The sequence below is a fragment of the Homo sapiens genome, chromosome 13 (genome assembly GCF_000001405.40).
Source record: "Homo sapiens chromosome 13, GRCh38.p14 Primary Assembly".
NCBI classification, from domain to species: domain Eukaryota; kingdom Metazoa; phylum Chordata; class Mammalia; order Primates; family Hominidae; genus Homo; species Homo sapiens.
The window spans coordinates 66,278,884-66,302,624 of record NC_000013.11 but is presented as its reverse complement, the minus strand read 5'-3'; the positions used below and the strand labels follow the sequence as shown (position 1 = coordinate 66,302,624).

The following is a 23,741-nucleotide window of genomic DNA, read 5'->3' as shown; positions in this document are numbered from 1 at the left end:
GAGAAAGTTCATTGACTTTCTGGTCAAGATTCATGCAAATTTCATCAGTGAAATCCCAAGTCAGAAACTGTGCTGGTAGCACTAGTTAGTAAGGTTATTTTTTTATTCTTTGTCTCTTTAATAAGATTTCATGGAACAAACTTTCATTGGCCAAGGCAGAAGATCATTCTGGGATTATGGCCTTAAACCCAGAGTCAAACTTCATCTGTATTTCTTTCAGTTTAGGAAAATAGGCACAGAAAGCTATCAAGGATAAGAAGACACACTCAAACATATGCCATGTGTGTATGCTCACCCTAGAGCAACTGCATCAATGTTCACTCATGCTGGAGTTTTGGGCTAGGTAAGTAAGCCTGACTCTTCAAGCCCTAGAGCTTTTTGGAGGATTATGAAATAGGATTTGGGAGTCAGAGGCATAGTGTTAAAGTTATTTGCCTGGACCATTGTCCGGATATGACATCCTAACCATTCATTCCTAATAAGCTAGACCTGTCCTCTAGTCTGAGGTACACTGCAGCACCACCCTCTTTTCCCTCACAGGAGTAGAGACTGCCCCAAGATACAGACAGGGAATGAATCCTGAAAAGAGGACATTCTGAAAAACAGAAATTAAAATCTATGCCTGCACAGTTCCTTTCTCTATTTTTCACCAATCAGGTAAGTCATTCACCTCTGCCTTGAAGAGTAAAGAGAGAGAAACTAATCTCATATTCTCTCCATGAATAAACTGGAAGTTTGAAAAAGGCATTCACCTTTCCCATTCCTACCACATTTCTTCTAATAAATACAACAATATATAGTCTTATGAAGACATTTGGTTATATGCTCTGGGTAATTTTAAGAGTAATAACATCACAAACCAAACTGAAGAATTTACCCATCAAGTAAATAAAACAGTACATTTGCAATGACCATTCCTTAAGTATCATCTATATTGCTTTATGGTGTTGACATTGGACATAAGAGTCACCATTTACCAGGAAATAAAAGTTATTTACATTACCTAAGAGAGCATACCTATATGAAATGTATAAAAGGATGATTGTTATAAAAATTATCAAATATTATGATGCTATACACTAACAATCTTTGAAGGCACATACAGAAATTAACTTTATAAACCTGAATATGACCTATTTGAATGAGTATTTCTACACATACTCTAACATAAATATATATTTAAATAATGGGTATTCATTAACAGACAATTGAGTAGTCATTTTGCTGCACTGATGCTGTTCAGTGAATCTCATTCAGAATCCCATCATTCCCATTCCGTGGCTAAAGCTACAAATGCAGCTGAGGCCCAGAGTTGTTCCAGTATTTATTAAACTGTTGGATAGAGGCCAGGGATGGTTAATTATTATTAATGAGGAGTTTTGGCAGTAAGGGATGAAAGGGATGCCTTGTCAATTTCAATTTTAATGTAGATGCCAGGGTGTTACTTTGCATGAGGGCAAACCAACCTATGAAAAGGAGGAGTGGTGTTGTGAGTCTAAAAATGCTTCATTGTTCTGCTTTGTTTTAAATAGAGCTGATCTTCCCTCCCTAAAGGAAGCTCCTTTATTTGTTCTTTTGAGAGAGAGTGCTTAAAAATTCTTCCAGTGTTCTTAAAGGCACAGTGATCACATAATAAATCCTCTATACACTTTTCTTATGCTTTCACAGCTACTAATCTAAATTTTAGTAGATATCAGCCAGACTTTGCACTGTTTAAAAAACATAAAATTAGTATCTTAATATTATAGTATTTTATAAGGTATAATATGTACTTGTAAAACATGGTTATCAAAATAATATCTTATTCATATTTTAGTTCACTGAAAGTATAAATTAATGTGTATTCCAAAGGTATCAATTTTCTGTTATACCACTATGTATATTTCAACATAAAATACGGAGCATAATTTCTACCTCTACATATGCATTTTTTATTTCTTAGAATTCTTAAACAGTGCACCATATTGAAATGAGTTCTTTCCGTATTTTTGTTATCTTAACCTATTACTTTGTTCTTGAAGCTTTATAGTAAAAAATCTATTATTTTTAAATAAAAAGCCTTCCATTTTTATTCTCATTTTTTCTTTATACCTTATGACTGTGTTCCTAACAGCACTTGTACAACACAATTATTTTTGGACTCATTCAATGCCACCTACTTAAGGTTCACATATTTGCAAATATATTGAATTACAGTGATTTTTCAAATAATATTACAATCCCATTTAAATTCTTAAATTCAAACACTGTTTTTTATGAACCTTGTGATTCTTCTGTTTGAATCAGTTTTTTTCACCTCGAATTTCATGATTAGTTTGGTTTTCATTGACCTAATTCTGAAAAATAATACCCAACAACAGTAGTAAAAATTTTTACCCTGAAACCCTAACACAGTAAAAGTTTTCTACAACATACTATTGTGTGATTGTAAGTAAAATTACAATATTTTTATACTTAATGAGATTACATATACTTTCTTTTAATTGAATATTCTCATAACCAATTGTGACAAATTATTTTATATGTGATATACATTTGGTTTATTACAGGAAAAAAGTCATAAAATGATTTTACATATCCTTAAATTCATTCACCATTAAATTTATACACACACAATCATACTTCAATGTGAATATAACTGAAAATTTGGCCTTGCTGGTGTGAATTCAAACCTCTCTGAATTTACAGGCACATAGTTGAACTTCCTCCTCCTGGAAACATTTTTTTTTTCCCCCTGGCTTCCTGGAAACCACAATCTTTTGATTTCCTCTTACTTCACTGGCCATTTCTTCTCAGGCTTCTTGGTTAGTTTCTCCTTTGCTTATGACTTATTTGAATGTTTTATAAGGTCCAAGGCTCAGTTCCTTGGCTTCCTTTCTTTTCTTATCTACACTTACTCTCTTGGGAAGCTCGTATTCCAGTCTGGACCCCTCCCCTAAACATCAGAACTTCTGATCCAAATCCCTTTTCAACAAGTATACTTGGACATTTCCAAGATGAGTCAAAATTAACATATCCAACATAACTCATAATCTCTCACATCACACACACACACACACACACACACACACACACACACACACGTCTGCTACTGCACCCAGTCTTCCAACTTCCTAGTTAATGGCACCTCTATCAGATATTCAGGCCAGAAAATTTAAAGTTATCTTTATCTCTTCTCTTTCATACTTGTGGAACATCTTTCTCTTTCTGACTGCAAAGTTCATCCAATCTGACCATGTCTCAATAGTTCCTCTTGCCAATTGGGCTAAGTATTATCATCCTTTTTCTGGATTATTATGGGTCTCCTAACTGCTCTCCTTCTAACTGGTCTTCTTCATGTAACCTTCCCCCATCTAGTCTATTCTAAGCATGCCTGAGAGATCCTCTTAAAACAAAGGTAAGCCAGACATCCTTCCTCTTCTCACAATACTCCAAGAGTCAGTTGTTTTTCTCAGAATGAAAATTAAAGCCCTTATGTTGTCCTACAAGGCAAATAAAGTGTGGATGCCCCTCTTCTCACTAATCTCATGTTTTATGACCTGTCTTTCTCACCCTGTTATGATCCATTGGCTCCTCATTGCTCCTCAAACATGCAGGCATGTGTCTGCCTCAGGTTATTTGCATCAGCTTTTCCTCTGCTGGAAATAGGCTTCTCAGATATCTGTAAAGAACTCCTTTCCTAGCTTCAAGTCTTAGCTTAAATACAATCTTCACCCTCAGGCCTGCACCAACCCTTCATTCTTTTTATTGTGAAGATATCTCTATCATCTCTATCTATCTATATCTCTATCTCATCTATCTATCTCTATCTCTATCTCATCTCTCTATCTATCTCTATCTCTATCTTATCTCTCTATCTCTATGTCTATCTCTATCACTATCATCTACTATCATCTATCTATATCTATCATCTATCTATATCTATTTATATGTATCTATCTATATCTGTCTATCATCTCTATCTCCCTTTCTTCCTCCCTCCATCTCCATCTTCCTCCCTCTCTCTTTCTCTCCCTACATATTTATCTATCACCATTTTAGCTACTTTAACCATGTTAACTATTAGTGTGCTATACAGTGGAGTTAACTGCATTCACTATGTTGTGCAATCATTATCACTATTTCAAAACTTTTTACTACTCCAAACACAGTCTATAACCATTAAGCAGTAAACCCCCATTTCCCCCTATCCTCAGTTCCAGGTAACTTCTAATGTACTTCATGTCTTTATGAATTTTCATATTCTAGATATTTTATATCTGTAAAAATGTACAATATTTGCCATTTTGAGTTCAGTTTATTTGCTTAACATAATGCTTGTTCTCAAGGTTCATCTGTATTATGTCATGTATCAGAAATTTATTTCTTTTTATGGCTGAATTATATATATAATATATAATATAAATATATAATATATAAATATAATATATACATATATAATCATAATCATATTTTGTTTATTCATTCATCTGTTAATGGACATGCATTATTAATACCTTTAGATGATTGTGAACAATGCTGCAATGAACATCGGTGTATAAGTACCTCTTTGAGTTTTTGTTTGTGAATTTCTCTAATTTGCAGACATATACTTTGAAATGGAATTGCTGGGTCATATGGTAATTCTGTTTGGCTGTTTGAGGAACTGTCAAGTTGTTTTCTCCAGTAGCTGGCCTAGTTTACATTACCAGAAGCAATGTGTGGAGGTCCAATGCTCTACATATTCACCAACACTTATTTTTCTCTTTTTTGGAGAGAGGAAAATCTGTTAGCCAGGCCATTGCCCAGGCTGGAGTGCAGTGGTATGATCAAGGCTCACTGTAGCCTCAATTACCTGGGCTCAGTTGATCCTGCCACCTCAGGATCTGAAGTATTTGGGACTACAGGCATGCACCCCCATGCCTGTTTAATTTTTAAATTTTTATTAGAGACACAGTCTCACTATGTTGCCCATGCTGGTGCTCATTTTTGTTTGTTTGTTTTTAATAACCATTTTAGCAGGTGTGAAGTGGTATCTCATTGTAGCTTTAATTTTCCAAATAACTAAGGATATTGATCTATTTGTGTATATTATTTGGAGAAAAGTCTATACAAGTTGTTTGCCTGTGTTTAATTGTGTGGTCTATTTGTTGTTGAGTTTTTGGAGCTCTTTATATATTCTGGATATTTACTCCTGATATCAGATATATGGTCTACAACTGTTCTCTCTCATTTTTATCTTTTCAGTTTCTTGATAATGTCTATTGATGCACAAAATTTTTAAATTTTAACAAAGTCCAATTTATTTACTTTTTTCTTTTATTACTCATGATTTTTATGTCATATCTAAGAATTCATTGCTAAATCCAGAGTCATAAAAGTTTGCCCCTATGTTTTATTCTAAATATTGTAATGTTTTAGCTCTTATATTAATGCTGTTGATCTATGTTGTGTTAACATTTGTATACAGTGTAAGGTAAGGCTTTATTCTTTTGCATGCTGATTTTGTCAATTTCCTTTTTTGTATCAGTTGAGATGATTGTTTATTTTTCCCCTTTGTTCTACTAATGTATCATATGACATGGATTGATTTTCTTATGTTGAACCATCCTTGCCTTCCTGGGATAAATCACACTTAGTCGTGGCTTAATGATTAATTTTAATACAATATTGGATTTGATTTCCTAGTATTTTTTGAGGATTTTTGCTTCTATATTCATAAGAGATATTTGCCTATATTTTTCTTTCTTTGTGATTTTTAATGTAGTTTTTGTATCAGGGTGTTTCTGGCATCATAAAATGGTATAAATTATCTTCCCTACTCTTCTGTTTTCTGGAGAAAATCAAGACGTATTGACATTAATTTTTCTTTAAATGTTTGGAAAAATTCACAAGTGAGGCTATCTGTTCCTTGACTGTTCCTTTTTGGGAAGTTTTAAATTATTATACTGATTCAATCTCTTTTGATAGGTTTTTTGAGACATTCTATTTCTTCTTAAGTCAGTTTAGGTAATATATGTGCTTCTAAGAATTTTTTAACTTTATCTAGACTGCCTAATTGTTTAGTATCCATTGGTTCACATTATTCTCCTGTAATTCTTTTTATTTCTGTAGAGTCAGCAATAACATTCCCCCTTTCATTTCTGATTTTCATCAACTGTGTCTTCTTTTTTTATTTCTTTGTCAGTCTAGCTAAATTTTGTCAATTTTATTCATTTATTCAAAGAAATAATTTTTGGCTTTGTTGACTATAGTTTTTCTATTTTATGTTTTATCTATCTCTGTTCTGATCTTTACTATTTCCTTCCTTCTGCCAGCTTTGCATTTAATTTTCTCTTTTTCTGTCTCCTCATGGTCCAACATTAATTTATTACTTGAGATCTTTTTTTTAAGATTAATTTATATTGCTACAAATTTTTCTCCAAGCACATTCACTTCATCCCATATGTTTGATATGTTGTGTTTTCATTTTTACTCATCCTTAAATATATTCTAGTTTCTTTTGTGATTTAATTTTTGTTACATTGGTTGTTTAAGGGTATGTTGTTTTATTTTCACATACTTGTGAGTTTTCCTTCTATTATTATTTTTAGTTTCATTTTATTGTTGTCAGAAAATATAATTTGTATGATTTCAAACTATTTAAATGTATTTAGTCTTGTTTTGTGGGTTAACGTATCTAATCACTGCATTTATTTATTTATTTAATTTATTATTATTATTATTATTTTAGAGACAGGGTATTGCTCTATCACCCAGGCTGGAGTGCAGTGGCAAAATTATGGCTCATTGCAACTGCTGCCCCCTGCCCCGGGCTCAAGTGTGTCCTTCCACCACAGCCTCCCGAGTAGCTGGGACCACAGGTGCACACAACCATGCCTGGCTGTTTTTTTGTATTTTTAGTAGATATGGGGTTTTGCCACACTTCTCAGGCTGGTGTTGAACTCCTGAGCTCAAGTGATCCACCTGCCTTGGCCTCCCAAAGTGGTAAGATTACAAGCATGAGCCACCGTACCTGGGCCTGACCACTGCATTTTAAAGTTGGAATTACTTCTCCAGCATTAACAATCCTATTTACAAACTAGTTTCCTTTTCTTCTCCCATAGCACTGAACATATTCTAACATAGCTATACTTTACTTATTCATTTACAATGCTTATTGTTCATTATCTTCCCCCACTGAAAGATAAACTCTAGTTTACTAATGTATTCCAAGCCCCTAGAATCATGCCTGGTACCAAGCAGATGCTCAATATATATTTGATGAGTGAATGAATGAACCACTACCCCAAATCTTAGCCTTTTTATTTTTACAGAGTGTCTACATGAAATAGGAAGAAATTGATTCTACTTGGGCAATAGCCCAATTTTCAGATGTATAATAAGGTCCTTATAACAATAAATATAACATTACTTTCCTTTCATGTTACGTGATGGGAAAATTCTAACAAAATGTATTATTTGTAAACAACCGAAATATTTTGCTTTCCACAATTGTTCTTTTTTATTCCCTTCCATCTAGTTGCTGGAATTTGTCCATTTGCCCCCAGGGGAACCGTTGACTTCAATAAAATTCAGTAACTTTCAAGAGCAAAGTTAATGTTTTTCTAGAAACTTGCTGCTTTGGAAGAAAGTACTGATAATGAAATTAATTTTTATTTTTAACTTGCACTTTTCTTTTGTAGAATTCATGTTTCTTTCCGTATACCTGGAAATTTGCACATCACATTGACTGTGGTGTGTGACTGCTACTTTGATAAGTAATAGTTTCTTCCTCGATACTTCATGACTTGAGGTGATCACAGAAGCCTCCTTTAGACTCTGTTGCATTCACTATACATCCCCATCCCACTGCTATGCACCTTCACCCAGGAGATGCTATTCTGGCCATCAGCCTTACAGAAAAAGACTAAGGTGATAGCAGGTGTCATTTTAAAACTGCATCTTATGGCTGGGTGTGGTGGCTCATGCCTGTAATGCCAGCACTTTGGGAGACCGAGGTGGGTGGATCACCAGAGGTCAGGAGTTCGAGACTAGCCTGGCCAACATGGCGAGACCCTGTTTCTACCAAAAATACAAAAATTAGCCGGGGTTGGTGGTGGGTGCCTATAATCTCAGCTACCAAGGAGTCTCAGGCAGGAGAATTGCTTGAACCTGCGAGGCTGAGGTTGCAGTGAACCAAGATCATGCCACTGCACTCCAGCCTAGGCAACAGAGTAAGACTCTGTCTCAAAACAAACAAAAAAAGAGTATTTTATTTCTACCACAAAGAGATTTTAGATCACTTTAAAAACCCCACAAAACTCCACACATCACAGAAAAATAAAAGTAACAGAAAATTAAGCCCGAGGGAATGTGTAGGTTTGTGTGTGTATGTGCCATGTATCAACTCATGTCACCAACTCTGCACACTTTCCAGGAATGGACCATCCATTTGATTCTGGGATTATTGAAAGCTAAAGAAAAACTATCAAATAGACAACAATCAAAAAACATGCCATTTACCAGTTGAATAAGTAAAATATATTTTTACATCTCAGTGGATCACATGCCACTATTACAATTTTCTCCAAAGCCTGATAACAAATGGACATTAGTAACTTAATACTTTTAAATGGACTCATATTTTTCTAACTTATCATTTTAAGTAATAGTTTATATAAATCATGATTCACACTGTATAAACTATATAAAATTCTACATAAGACATATTTTTACTTCACTTAGAGTAATATTTTTAAATGTTAAATTATATATCACTTAAGTAACCCTGTTTACAAGTTCCAGCCCTTGGGAAATATTATAATAATGGCATCTATGCTGATCGACCCCTAGGCAGCTTATATCATCAAGTTTCCTATTGCTATCCAATTCTCCTGTTTGATTATGGAAAGGAATATTTCTTTTAGAAAAGCCTACAGTTTCAAAAGGAGAAAATAATTACCTTGGTTGCCATAGCTAGGATGACCATATCCCTGTGACGTAAAATTGATACACATCCAGCCTCAATGATGGGTCTTTATTCCTCTCTGCCTGTTTAAAGCATCTCTAATGAAATTATGTTTAGGATCTAAAGGGCCACTATCCCTGGTTATGGCAGAGATTACAAAAGATGGTTGGAATATTTACTAGTTGATTAATCTGAGTTTTATAATGTGACATACCTGATGTACAATGTATTTTTAAAATTAGGGTTTTATTTACCTTTGGTTGGGATTATCCCATACAGCTGTAGAAATAGTGCGGGTTTCAGCAGAGCCCAGAGATCTTCAGAATAATTAACAGAGATGTCCGTCATACACATCATGAGAAAGAGTATTATTTCCTAGAAAACAAAAATCTACCTAGCTGCACAATTCTCAGACTGAAACATGGATATATAGCAAAACTGTTTGCTGTTCTTTATTTTCTACACCATATAAACATCTTCTGCAGTGAGGTTTACCTTATTGATTCATTAACAATTATAACAACTAACATTTATTAAAGCACTTATTTATTCTATGTTCATCACAGTTCAACAGATTTACCAGTATTAGCTAATTTAATTTTCTCATGCTTTTTAAAAAGATATGCTGTTTGTGTCACCCTGTCACAGATGAGAACACTGAGATACAGGAAGACTATATGTATCTACTCAAGATCCTAGGGTGAATAAGTAACACTGCCAGCCTACTAGGCTGAGTGTAGAGTCTGGGCTTCAACTACTATGTGATATCACCTCTTCTTATGAAAAATTCAAGCACTCTTTGATTCTGGATCTCAATGATAAACTGCCATTTTTTAAACAACAGCAATAAAATGATTTATTAACTAGTTCTGCAATGAAGATTCTCTTTCTACTTAGAGTTTTATTTACTCAATGTTTGATGTACTTATATGTTGGCTCAAATATGTTATTAATTAAATGTGTAGCAATTGTGCTATTCAGTCTTGAGATAAAAATAACATAGTCTAAAATGACACACAAGTTTAGGGTGAATACAACCTCATCAGAGTTACTGGGAAATCTAGTGAAAGTCTCTGCTGTTAAATAAAAGTGCTGAATTCCTTTCACGTGTTCTAGGTATACCTATTCACAGATTCTACCTTTTTACACTTGCTTTCTGTTCCCTACCTTGGAAAATCAGGTGAGGAACAAAGTGAGCCACACATCAGGCTTCTATTGCCAATAAACAGGGCATTAAAAGGAGACCAAAATCAGTCTGGTAATTAACTTTAGCAAGCCTATTTTCTTCTCGTCATGGAAATGCAACTCCCATTGACATCAAGGGGAGCTTTGTGCTCACATGGAGAGGAGAATGGTCTCCCCAAGCATCATGGAGAAAGCTGTATGTTAAGCTTCAAAGCATAAGTGCCCTCTATTACTGCATCACCAATTTTAATCAACTGTTCTTATATCTACAATTTGGCTCATTGTCCAAATGGGGAAGCACCTCTTAATTTGACAAACAAGAATCCCTGATAACAGATATGAAACAAATTACTTATAACGCCAAGGTCGTGCCATGTAGTAGTACTTCATTAGTCTTCCCCTTTCCCCAGGAAAAGCTGACTGTGTGTTTTAAATGTCAACTCTCTGTAGTTCACGGTTTTACAGTGCACTCTTTTATAACACAGAGTGATGAAGAAAAATAACATAAGGTATTAAATATAAATATTCAGTTAATAGTAGTTTAATAGTATCATTCAATAAGCCACTGCTCCTTTAAGCCACATGCAAAGGGTAACTTCTTATTTCTCTATGGTATTTGGTTCTTTAATTATTTTTAATGACATTATTGCTGATAATATTGCACATCGGGCACATAGAAAACATCTGCTTCCTTATGTGCACACGGAAATCAGTGTGAGAAAAACAGCTAATACTAAACTTCTTGAGAAAGAAAACATATACAGACATTCTGTTTAAAAATGTTAAGCTTGGAGCAGTTGTATGTTTTATAATTGATCTATTTATCTATCTTCCTAGGGAATTATCAAATTATAGATTCATATTACTCTTGTATGTTAGTTTTAGTATTTATTCCTAATAATTTATGAATATTTTTGTATTAATCAAGTATTGTTTTTACAATTTGAGAATTCTAGGCAGAGAAGATAATCCAGCACAAATACCCATGTGTCGATGGAGTGACTTTTAAACTATCTAATGATGATGAAGTATCATTAGAAAATACATGACTTTGGTTATGCGTTCCAGTGGCTCATAAATTAATTTAAACCTAGGTGATATAAAGTGAAATGCTTAGCTAGTTTATAGATGATGCCTTCAGGAATATTTAGTGGTAGTCAAGTTTCTTATAAAATTTCAATATTTATTAGAATTAATAATGGATTAAGGATAAGGAGATTTAGCTTACAAATCCTACTTACATAGAAATTTAAAAGAGATAATGGTCCCAAAGTTCATCAAATTGAGAAATTTCCATTTTTCAGTGTAAAACCTGGCATTTTATATAATTGATACAATCATCTTTTAAAGAAGTGAAATGAGGAGAATAATAATCTTCAATTCATAGGCTTATTATGAAGATTAAATAGAGTAATTCATTAATAGAGTTTAGAATGGTGTCTGGAATATCAGAAGTGCTCCATGAATGCATTTAGTAGTAGTAGTAGTAGTAATAGTAACAGTTTTTCTAAACTTCTTCTAAATAAATAAAATAATAAAATAAAATAAAATAATTAAAATATCATGATGATACAGGTCCTTACAAATACATTTTCTTTAGTTCTGTTCCTACATATTGTTATCAAGATTTTCAGGAATGAACTTCCCTTTACTCTCATAAAAGACCTTGCCCGAGCTTCAGAGAGCACAAATACCGTTAGGATAGAGTTTCTCAACTTCTGACAAAAACAGGTAGAAAGTTAACTGAATCCCCTGGCTTATCTTTCTTCACTTCTGTTAAAATTCTTAAATTTTCTGAATCCATATCTCTCTGCACATTCAGGCATATTCTGTAATTACTTTATCACTATTTTATATTTCAGCCTGAACAAATTCAAACACACATACACACATACCAATTTAGAATAGATAAATTGGGCAGGAAACTGTATGCACTTTTTTTTTTTTTTCTTGAGACAGGGTCTTGCTCTGTGGCCCAGGCTGGAGTTCAGTGACACGATCTTGGCTCACTGCAATCTCTGCTTCCTGGGCTCAAGTGATTCACCTGTCTCAGCCTTCCTGCTAGCTGGGACTACAGGTGTGCACCACTACGCCCAGCTAATTTTTTTTTCTATTGTTGTTAGAAACGAGGTTTCACCATATTGTTAGGCTGCGCTTGAACTCCTGAGCTCAGGTGATCCTCCCACACTGGCCTCCAAAAATGCTAGGATTACAGGCATGAGATACCACACCCAGCCAGGAAACTGTACTTACTCATTTTGAAAGAGATATGTAACTGTTGGCTACCATAGCTCCTTCATACAGAATTATGGGCTCAGTAGATGCCAAATCTTCCACATTTTCAGGTGATGCTTAAATTCCTACAATCTCTCTCTCTTTAAAATATGTTGTGGTCTTAAAACAAACAAATAAGGCAAGTGGATCACCTGAGGTCAGGAGTTAAAGACCAGCCTGGCCAACATGGTGAAACCCCGTCTCTACAAAAATACAAAAATTAGCCAGGGATGATGATGAGTAACTGTAATCCCAGTTACTCAGGAAGCTGAGGTAAGAGAATAGCTTGAACCCGGGAGGCAGAGGTTGCACTGAGCCTAGATCAAGACATTGCACTCCAGTCTGGGCAACAGAATGAGACTCTGTCTCAAAAACAACAATAACAAAACAAAAAACAAAACAAACAAACAAACAAAATATATTTATGGGCCAGTCATGGCTTAGGGTAAGTGGGTTGTTAGTTACCAGCAAATTCTCTCTTCTATTTTCTGTAAATTCAATCTCTTTCTTTTTACTTGCCCCTTTTCATAAGTATTTGAGATTGCTCAAACCTCTATAATTTAAAACAAGCAATAAATAATAAAGAAATAAATAGAAAATCTTTCTTCCATTCACTTCGTTCATTGCATCATTTGTATGATCCACTTTACAATCTTTTTCAATGGGTGAATCAAGCCACCAACCCATCACAATACATTTCTCTAAACCTAACCATCCAACAAAATTTCTCTGTTATAGTATCAGAATTCACTTGACCAAATTTATTCCTAAATCTAAAGGCCACATTTAAGACTTTATTTCACTCAACCTCTTAGCAGCATTTCGCATCTTAGAGTGTTTTACTGCTTTATTTTTGAATCAAAAAACTCTGCTGGGTTTTCTCCTGTATCCTTAGGGCAAGCCTTCTTAATATTCTTTGCAGAACTCCTTTCTTTCTCCATGTTTTGAATGCTAGCTTTCCCTAAGGTTGTCTTCTCTCTGCATACCCTATGTGACCACATTCATGCCAATGGTTCAGTTATAAGTGTCCCAAATCTACAAATAGAGTGCAGCTTTTTCCACTACACAGCAGATCCATGTAAACAATTGGCCAGTGAAATACCCCAGAAAGACCTCAAACGAATTCCACTCAACTCCTCTCTGCAGCTTCTAAAGAAGTCAGATCTTATGCTTTCAGGTTATGTAGCCAAAGCCTTTGTGTGTCTGGTCAGGTGGTGCCTGAACACCAGAGCTGTGGTGGATGCTGCTGTAGCTACTAGGATGAGGTGTGTTAGAACAATCCTCAAAGAGGCAGCCCCGAATATCTGATTGGGCCAGGGGACACAGAGTAGTGTGACAGACCTTTCCACTGCCTAAACCACCAAAGCCACTGAGGGCCCATTAGTTAATTGGTGCTGAGCAAATTTTGGTCATTGGAACTGCCTAAATTGGAACTGAAACAGGGACCACGGAGGAGAAGAAAGTTCTAACAAAGATATTTATCTATTTCTTGACTTGAAGTGCTGAAAACCTGTTCTCCACAGTAGCCAGTGTATTTTATCTAAAATGAGATCTGACCCTATTACTCTGATTTAAAACTGTTCAGTGCTTCTCTGTTACTCTCACTCCAAAATTCCATGTGCCTTAAAACAGCTCTACAGGCTCTAGTATGCTCAGCCCTCTGATTACTTTTCCAGCCGTTCTCAGGCTACCTCAAACCGTGGATCACTCGATGATCCAGCTAAATTGAATTTCGTTAAGTTCCTTGAAAACACCACGCTCTCTTTTTTTGCTTCTGGGCCTTTGCGTATGTTCTGCAGGCACATTCTGCAGGCACATTCTTCCTTTTCATTCTTTAAGTAGCTAACACCTTCTCATTCTTCAGGTCAGAGCATAAAACGTAACTTTCACTAGAAAGGCTTTTCTGACTGCTTCCAAGTAATGTGACACTATTTTCTCTTATACCATTTACACTGTATTTTAATTGTCTATTTACTTGCTAGTATCACTCACTAGACACTAAACCCCTTGAGAATATTAGGTCTTTGTGATTTCATCATTGAGTTCATTGAGACTTTGATATAGTAGAGGTCCAGTACGTGTTTGTGGAATCAATAAATGTTTGTGGAATCAATTTATGACTGTACTCAAATTGTAGAGTCCTATATAAAGTGAAGTGTTTTCAGTCCTTTTAAGTGCACATGGCTACCATTAAGAGTACTTGGAAGACAATCTGAGTGCAGGTATAGAGGTACTGCAAGGTATTATAAAGATATTAAAGGTATTATTAAGCCAAGTTAGAAAGATTGTTCTGCTTTCTTTTTCTCAGATATCCTATGTGCATTAGGGCTGGTATTTCTTTTAATTTTTTGTTTTCTTTTTGAAGTAAAAATAGACCTACCTTTTTTTTTTCTTTTTTTTTTTGCTAGGAGGTGATTTGGACTTTACTATCTTTGCCAGACTGAAGCTGACACAAAAAGACAGCAACAAAGGGGATCACTCCTTTAGAAGACAGGCACTATAGAAAAATTGAGTGGTTTCCCCCTTGCCAAAGTGTTCCTCTGTTGCACTTTTTTAGTGTCTTTTCAAAATATTATCAAATTAAGTTGGAATTGCTGATTTATTTGTTGGCTACCCCACTAACCAGGAACTATATGAAGGTATGTTGTGGGAAGTCAGGGACCCCGAACGGAGGGACCTGCTGAAGCTGTGACAGAAGAACATAAATTGTGAAGATTTCATGGACATTTGTTAGTTCTCCAAATTAATACTTTTATAATTTCTTATGCCTGTCTTTACTGCAATCTCTGAACATAAATTGTGAAGATTTCATGGACATTTATCACTTTCCCAATCAATACTCTTATAATTTCCTATGCCTTTCTCTACTTTAATATCTTAATCCCATCATCTTCGTAAGCTGAGGATGTATGTAGCCTCAGGACCCTGTGATGATTGTGTTATCTGCACAAATTGTAGAGTATGTGTGTTTGAACAATATGAAATCTGGGCATCCAAAAGGAACAGGATGGCTGTGATTTTCAGGGAACAAGTGAGATAACCATTAGGCCTGACTGCCCGAGGGGCCGGATAGAACAGAGTCATATTTCTCTTCTTACAAAAGTGAATAGGAGAAATATCACTGAATTCTTTTTCTCAGCAAGGAACAGCCCTGAGAAAGAGAATGCATTCCTAGAGGGAGGTCTCCAAAATGGCCACTCTAGGAATGTCTGTCTCATGTGGTTACAGATAAGGGATGAAATAAGCCCCGGTCTCCCGTAGTGCTCCGAGGCCTATTAGGATAAGAAAATTCCTGCCTAGTAAATTTTAGTCAGACTGGTTGTCTGCTCTCAAACCCTGTCTCCTGATAAGATGTTATCAATGACAATGTGTGCCCAATGGGACATGAAACTTCATTAGCAATTTTAATTTCACCCTGGTCCTGTGATCTTGCTCTGCCCCCCATTTGCCTTGTGATATTTTATTGCCTTGTGAAGCATGTGATCTCTGTGACCCACACACTATTTGTACACTCCCTCCCCTTTGAAAATCACTAATAAAAACTTGCTGGTTTTGTGGCTTGGGGGGCATCACAGAACGTGCTGACATGTGATGCCTCCCCTGGACACCCAACTTTAAAATTTCTCTTTTTTGTACTCTTTCCCTTTATTTCTCAGACCAGCCAACACTTAGGGAAATAGAAAAGAACCTACGTTGGAACATCGGGGGCTGGTTTCCCCCGATAAAGGCAGAGATTGACTCTTTCTTTATCTCTTTGAAATAAGCATCTCATATAGGACTTATGCAATGGCAGACAATAAATGTATAGTGTGAAATATGTAATAAAACTTTTCTGTTTCTAGAAGTAGCAAGCTATATTTCTGATAAACATTGCAACTATTTATCAGAATGTTTAAATATATATATAAGCATATATATATATCAGATATGAGTTTGATTAAACGGTCCTTAAATATCATTTTTCCAACCTGATGTTCTACAACTTTGTAGGACATGATAAGTAGGATATACTTATGAAGAGCTATATGGGATAATGTAAGGTTGGAAGATAAAGATATAGAAGCTAAAGCAGAAAATCGAGACCCAACGTTAATTCTGTTATTTGTAAGTGTGCTCATTCAACTAAAAGCCTTTCTTGAAAACATGGTAAGAAAGCAGACATTTGACTTGTTTACTCCAACCTGAAGTTAAAAAAATCCTTCTTCCCAAAGTTCTTTTTTCTCTTGATTTTTTACTTCTTCAACTTTATATTATGGTATAAATAATTCAAAAACATTTCAAATTTTCAAATTCAGATATGAACTACTCAAGAACTATGCAGCAATTACTAAATGGCACTATAAGATAGAATGGTTGGGCTGTGAATATAAAAAAACTACATTCAAATACAGTTGTTCAAAGTTTTATGCATTAAGTACTGAATTATGAGTTATCAGTCATTCTTAAAAGGTGCATTTTATTTGAAATACTAAAAGATATTCCATAAGAGAAAGTAATTTGCACTTACTTAATGCTCCAATATTTAGAAGCAGTAATGCTTATGCAGTGGGAATAAACTGCTATTTTAAATTTACCAAGAATTTCTCCTACAGCTTAAAGTGGAATATGGATTTTAAAATTATTGAAGCTGTCATGATGGCAAATATGGGATTTATAAACAGATTTTAAATTTTAGGTTGGACATTGAATTTGTGCCTGGAAAATACTGTTCCCCTTTATTCTTGTTGGGTTGATCTGAGATCAACATTAACTCAAGCAGATACAGAGCAATCTTGAATCAGTAATGAACTCTAAAGGAAGACACTCATATGGAGTGATTATAATGTCATTAGGACTCAGAGCATGAGGAAATTACTATAATGTTTGTTCATTTCCTTTCTCTCCACTCCCACAAGAGAGACAGTGGGAATTTGACTCCAAGAATAAGGACAGAATTTGACCCCAGGCAGAATGGTTCAAGAAAAACAATTGATTCTGGAGTAAAAACACTGCTTGACTCTTAGACTATATTACCTGGTACCCATTTTTAAGATTTCTCTTCCTGCATTATAGTTCTTGATGTTATAATTAAATGTTAGCAAAAGTTGTCTTGTATATTAAGCTTGGTATTAATGACACTGGAGAGATTAATATAGAGCCACTCCCCTTTCTGGGAAATAGCAACTTTGGAGAATCAGTTATCAAACAAGAGGTAGTAAGTAGAATCTCAGAAGGACACTGCAACAAGATATGGCAAGAGAAAACCAAGATCAATTTGTTGGACTAAAGAAATGGTCCCTGGGAATTCTTAAAAATGTACTAAATGTAAACTTATTAAACACACATTTTCTAAAATCAAATAGGGTTTGGGGCTTAAACCTTGTATTTTGGGATTAGAGGAGGAAAAACTGCTTCAGCTAAAGAACGTGGGTAGTGGAAGCACTGGATTTAGGCATAGTATAGGTTCTGTTCATTTATATACACAAGCACTCATGCACTTTAAAATAAGTTATACCCCAACAGTTTGCTTGGATATTGAATGTTAGAAAGTTGGATCATTGTTCTCAAGGAGAGAGTCATATGGTTGCCATGGTTTTAATGTGTCCCCCAAAATTCATGTGTTAGAAGGTTTATCCTCATTTCAACAATATTGATTAATTCACTAATCTCAAGAATCGATTAGTTATCTTGGAAGTGATTTCCTGATAAAAGGATAAGTTTGGCCCCTATCCTATCCCCCTGCCCTCATCCTCTCTTGCCCTTCTGTCTTCTCCCATGGGATGATGGAATAAGGAGGCCCTCACCAGATGTAACTCACAGAACTTGGACTTCCCAGCCTATAGAACTCTGATAATTATTTTTTCCTTTATTAATACCTAGTCTCAGGTATTTTGTTTAGCAGCACAAAACAGACTAAGACAGAACACTGGTACCAAGAGGTGGGGAGGTTGCCATAACAAATACCTAAAAATGTGCAAGTGGATTTGGAACTGGATAGTGGGTAAAACCTGGAAGCATTTGGAGGAGCAGGCTAGAAAAAGCCCAGATTACCATAAGTAGAGTATTAAGGGTCCTTCTGGTGCGGGTTCAAAAGAAGAGAATAGTCTGGAATTTCTTAAGCAGTATTGATCAAAATGTCCATGAAAATATAAGAGGTAAAGATCATTCTGACTAAGTCGTAAACGGATTTGAGGACCAAAATATTAAAAACTAGAGTAAATAGTACCTTATTTTAGATAGAGTTGCAAAGAACATGATGGAATATCCTAAGATATTCCATCTTATAGAGTTGCAAAGAACATGATGGAATATCCTAAGACTTTGTAAAAGGCAGAACTTATAAGCAATTAACTAAGATATCTGACAGAAGAAACATCTAAGCAGCAAAGGATTCATGGTGCTGCCTGGCTTCTTTCTGTTGCTTACAACAAAAGGAGAAAAGAAAGAAATGATGAAATTCATGAGGCGTTCTTACTATTCTTTCTCAAAAGAATTTGCTAAAGAGATTAATAGGGTTAGAAGGAAACCAAGTGCTATTTATGAAGTCAATAAGAGAGTGACCCCACAGGCATTTTGGAGATTATAGAGACTGCCCTGCCCATTAGAGGACCAGAGCTCTAGGAAGGCAGAATTTTTTCAGGGGACAGGCCCAGGACACATTCCTGGGGCTGCTGCTCAGGATCACCTTGGAATTCTGCTCCTTTGATTCTAGAACATTGCTCCTTGGCTGACCCAGCTCTTTCTTAAGTGGGCACAAGTGCAATGTGGGCTCCACTATGGCTTGGGCCACTGCTCTGGAGGGCACAAGGAATAAGCCTTTATGGCAAGGCTTATTGATGCTGACTGGTACAACATGATGCTGACTCTGTAGACATGTACAATTCAAGGGCTTTGGGACCATGCAGCCTCTGCCTATATTTCAAAGGATGTACTGGACAGCCTGAGGGCCCAGGCAGAGACTTGTCACAGGGACATAACCACTGAAGAGAGTCTCCAATAGGGCAATGCCTAGTGAAGACCTGGGAGTGGGGTAGCCCCCAAGACCCCAGAACTGTAAGGCCACCAGCCTGCATCTCCACCCTGGGAAAGCTGCAAGTGTGATACTTGAACCTGTGAGAGCTGCTGGGTGGACTGAGCCCAGCAAAGCCATGGGGCTGGTGCTGACTGTGGCCTTAGGAACATAGCACTATCTGTGTATGCCTAGGATGCAGGAGATGGAGGCAAAAGGGATTATTCTTCAGCCTTAAGGTTTAATGTAATCTTGCCTATTGGGCTTTAGACTTCCTTTGCCCAGTTGCCTATTTTTCCCTTTTGGAATAGGAATGTGATATAATTTGGATATTTGTCCCCACTCAAATCTCATGTTGAAGTGTAATCCCCAGTGCTTGAGGTGTTTGGCTTATGCTGGTGGATCCCTAATGGCTTGGTGCTATCTTCACGATAGTGTGTTCTTGTGAGATCCGGTCATGTAAAAGTCTGTGACACCTCACCCCCCACTCTTTTGCTTGCTTCTGCTTTGTCATGTAAAATACCTGCTCCCTCTTTGCCTTCTGCCATGAGTAAAAGATACCTGAGGCCTCTCCAGAAGCTGAGATGTGGGTGCAATGCTTCCTGTATAGTTTGCAGAATCATGAACGAATTAAACCTGTTTTCTTTATAAATTGCCCAGTCTTAGGTATTTCTTTATAGCAATGCAAGAATGGTCTAATACAGAATATATATCCCATACCTGTCCTAGTATTGTATTTTGGAAGCACATTACTTGTTAATTTTATAGGCTCCAAGCTGGAGACTAATTTGCTTCAGGATGAATCATGCCTTATATCTTACCCTTATTACTCCCATTCATAATTGCTTCAAAGAGAATAAAATACTTATGAATCCAACTTACAAGGGATGTGAAGGACCTCTTCAAGGAGAACTACAAACCACTGCTCAATGAAATAAAAGAGGATACAAACAAATGGAAGAATATTCCATGCTCATGGGTAGGAAGAATCAATATCGTGAAAATGGCCATACTGCCCAAGGTAATTTATAGATTCAATGCCATCCCCATCAAGCTACCAATGACCTTCTTCACAGAATTGGAAAAAACTACTTTAAAGTTCATATGGAACCAAAAAAGAGCCCGCAAGCATTGCCAAATCAATCCTAAGCCAAAAGAACAAAGCTGGAGGCATCACGCTACCTGACTTCAAACTATACTACAAGGCTACAGTAACCAAAACAACATGGTACTGGTACCAAAACAGAGATATAGACCAATGGAACAGAACAGAGGCCTCAGAAATAACACTACACATCTACAACCATCTGATCTTTGACAAACTTGACAAAAACGAGAAATGGGGAAAGGATCCCCTATGTAATAAAGGATGCTGGGTAAACTGGATAGCCATATGTAGAAAGCTGAAACTGGATCCCTTCCTTACACCCTATACAAAAATTAATTCAAGATGGACAAAAGACTTAAATATTAGACCTAAAATCATAAAAACCCTAGAAGAAAACCTAGGTAACACCATTCAGGACCTAGGCATGGGCAAGGACTTCATGACTAAAACACCAAAAGCAATGGCAACAAAAGCCAAAATAGACAAATGGGATCTAATTAAACTAAAGAGCTTCTGCACAGCAAAAAATACTACCATCAAAGTGAACAGGCAACCTATAGAATGGGAGAAAATGTTTGCAATCTACTTATCTGACAAAGGGCTAATATCCAGAATCTACAAAGAACTCAAACAAATTTACAAGAAAAAATCAAACGTCCCCATCAAAAAGTGGTTAAAGGATGTGAACGGACAGTTTTCAAAAGAAGACATTTATGCAGCCAATAGACACATGAACAAATTCTCAACATCACTGGTCATCAGAGAAATGGAAATCAAAACCACAATGAGATACCATCTCACACCAGTTAAAATGGCAATCATTAAAAAGTCAGGAAACAATAGGTGCTGGAGAGGATGTGGAGAAATAGGAATGCTTTTACACTGTTGGTGGGAGTGCAAACTAGTTCAACCATTGTGGAAGACAGCCTGGCGATTCCTCAAGGATCTAGAACTAGAAATACCATTTGACCCAGCAGTCCCATTACTGGGTATATACCCAAAGGATTATAAATCATGCTACTATAAAGACACATGCACACGTATGTTTATTGCAGCACTATTCACAATAGCAAAGACTTGGAACGAACCCAAATGCCCATCAATGATAGATTGGATTAAGAAAATGTGGCACATATACACTGTGGAATACTATGCAGCAATAAAAAAGGATGGGTTCATGTCTTTTGTAGTGACATGGATGAAGCTGGAAACTATCATTCTGAGCAAACTATTCAAGGACAGAAAACCAAACACTGCATGTTCTCACTCTTAGGTGGGAATTGAACGAGAACACTTGGACACAGGGCAGGGAACATTGCACACCGGGGCCTGCCATGAGGTGGGTGGATGGAGGACGGATAGCATTAGGAGAAATACCTAATGTAAATGACGAGGTAATGGATGCAGCAAACCAACAGGGCACATGTATACATATGTAACAAACCTGCACATTGTGCACATGTACCCTAGAACTTGAAGTATAAAAAAGAAATGTATCTCTTTTCTTCATAAATCATCTAAGTCTCAAGCATTCTGTCAGAACAGCACAAAACATATTAAGACAAGAGGTAGTTAGTTATATATGGCATTAGGTGCCTCCAGAGCCTCTTTACCTGATTGATTTTTTTCTCTAGTACTCTTTGCTTGGGCACCACATTACCGTAATTTCCATGGCCATAGTCTCCTGCTTCCTTATAAATCTGATCGAATTCAACATGGATCAAAACAGTCTTGATTGCAAATCAACTGTTCTTTCAAATTTAAACAGTGTTTATTAACAGACAAAATAGAAAGAAGCTCCTTCTTATAACTCACTTTCATCAGGCCATAGATCTTTCCTCCCTTCCTTGCTCCCACTTTTTTAAAATCTCAATTTTGTAGGGAAATATAAAATGATGGTGAGTTGCCATTGTTATAACTTTGTACACTGAGAACAGAATCTATAATAGGCTTGATTTCCTTGACAATTCAAAAGTTGATAGAGTTAGGGATGTATCTTGCTGAAACTAACTGGTCAAGCCACTAGTACTAATGAAAAGAAGGAGGAAAGGCCACTTCTTGCACTCTTCCTGGGGCAGAATGAGATGGAGAGATGGAAGGACAGAGGCCATTGCTAGGAAGTGAATAGAAAGGCACAAAGGAAAGCAAATTCCAAGCATTAGCCCTGATGGTATCTAGAAAACTCTAAGAAAATATTCTTTGTAACCTAACTTGATATAGTAACCACTTACACAACAGACTTAGCTTTTATCTTTCAGAAACAAATATTTGTTAGAACACTGCTCTTCATGCTTGTTTTACACATGCTGAGGTGAAGAAGCTTTCCCTCCAAATTTTAATTGATTAATCACACTTTTTTTCAAGTGTAATTTCTACTTTTTAAAAATTAGAAACCTTATTTTGGTACACCAACAAAAATTCAGTCATTGACTTAAATTTGAGCAATTTTACTTTCTTTGGACAATTAAGATTCTATCTTATCTCTGTGATATTGATTATTTAAATGTTCATTGTGGTTAATGTTTATAGAAACCTATACCATACCCATTCTCTTCAAATATAACTTTATATTTTATGTGCAGCTGCAAATGAAATATTGAAAAAGTCATCTATAATTACTGACCACCTTGTAGTTTTAAGTCTGCAAAAGCACATCTAAAAAGAATAAAAGGCAATCATGTAAAGATTATTTTACTTAAAAGAAAATATTTAGTAATACTAAGTTAAGGGTATAGCTGCCTACTTAATCATATTAACTATATGAACAGTTGAAAATAATTTTGCATTATAGTAGTTATCTTAAATTTTTTAATTAAATTTTTTAATTCAAATTAATTAAATTGGGATTAAGAAATCTATCACACAAAAATAAAATATGCTTTAACTTACTAATTTTAAATATTTATATTTTAAATCTTTTTACTAAAAAACAAATTTAAGGGTCTTTTTTGTTTTAAATTGTGCTATTTCTAACTTTAAGAAGTTACTAAAAATAGCAGGAAATTATAATTTCTCAAAATCTAGATGAAGCTTGTTATTGTTTTTTCTTTTCATGATAGATGTGTTTCATAGTTGCCATATGTTCAATTTTCAAAGGTGGACTTTCTATCTCACAACAAACTTAAATATTATTGTGATTAATTAAAGAATACTAGGTTCCTTCTTGACAATGCTGGCTATGGAAAACATCTCTGTTGTTACAGAAATATGTTCTGATAATATTTTTGTTAAATTAACTAAACATATGTTCTCTTTTA

The 23,741-nt window shown here is 35.6% G+C and overlaps 1 long non-coding RNA gene across 1 annotated transcript in view; it reads right to left on the bottom strand.

The window, feature by feature from the left end:
* The window catches only part of LOC124903179 (uncharacterized), a 41,261-nt gene continuing 26,746 nt past the window's right edge, over nucleotides 9,227–23,741 (bottom strand). Inside the window, exon 3 of the long non-coding RNA XR_007063815.1 lies at nucleotides 9,227–9,304. This is a non-coding gene — a long non-coding RNA (uncharacterized LOC124903179). The remainder of the gene's footprint in view (nucleotides 9,305–23,741) is intronic.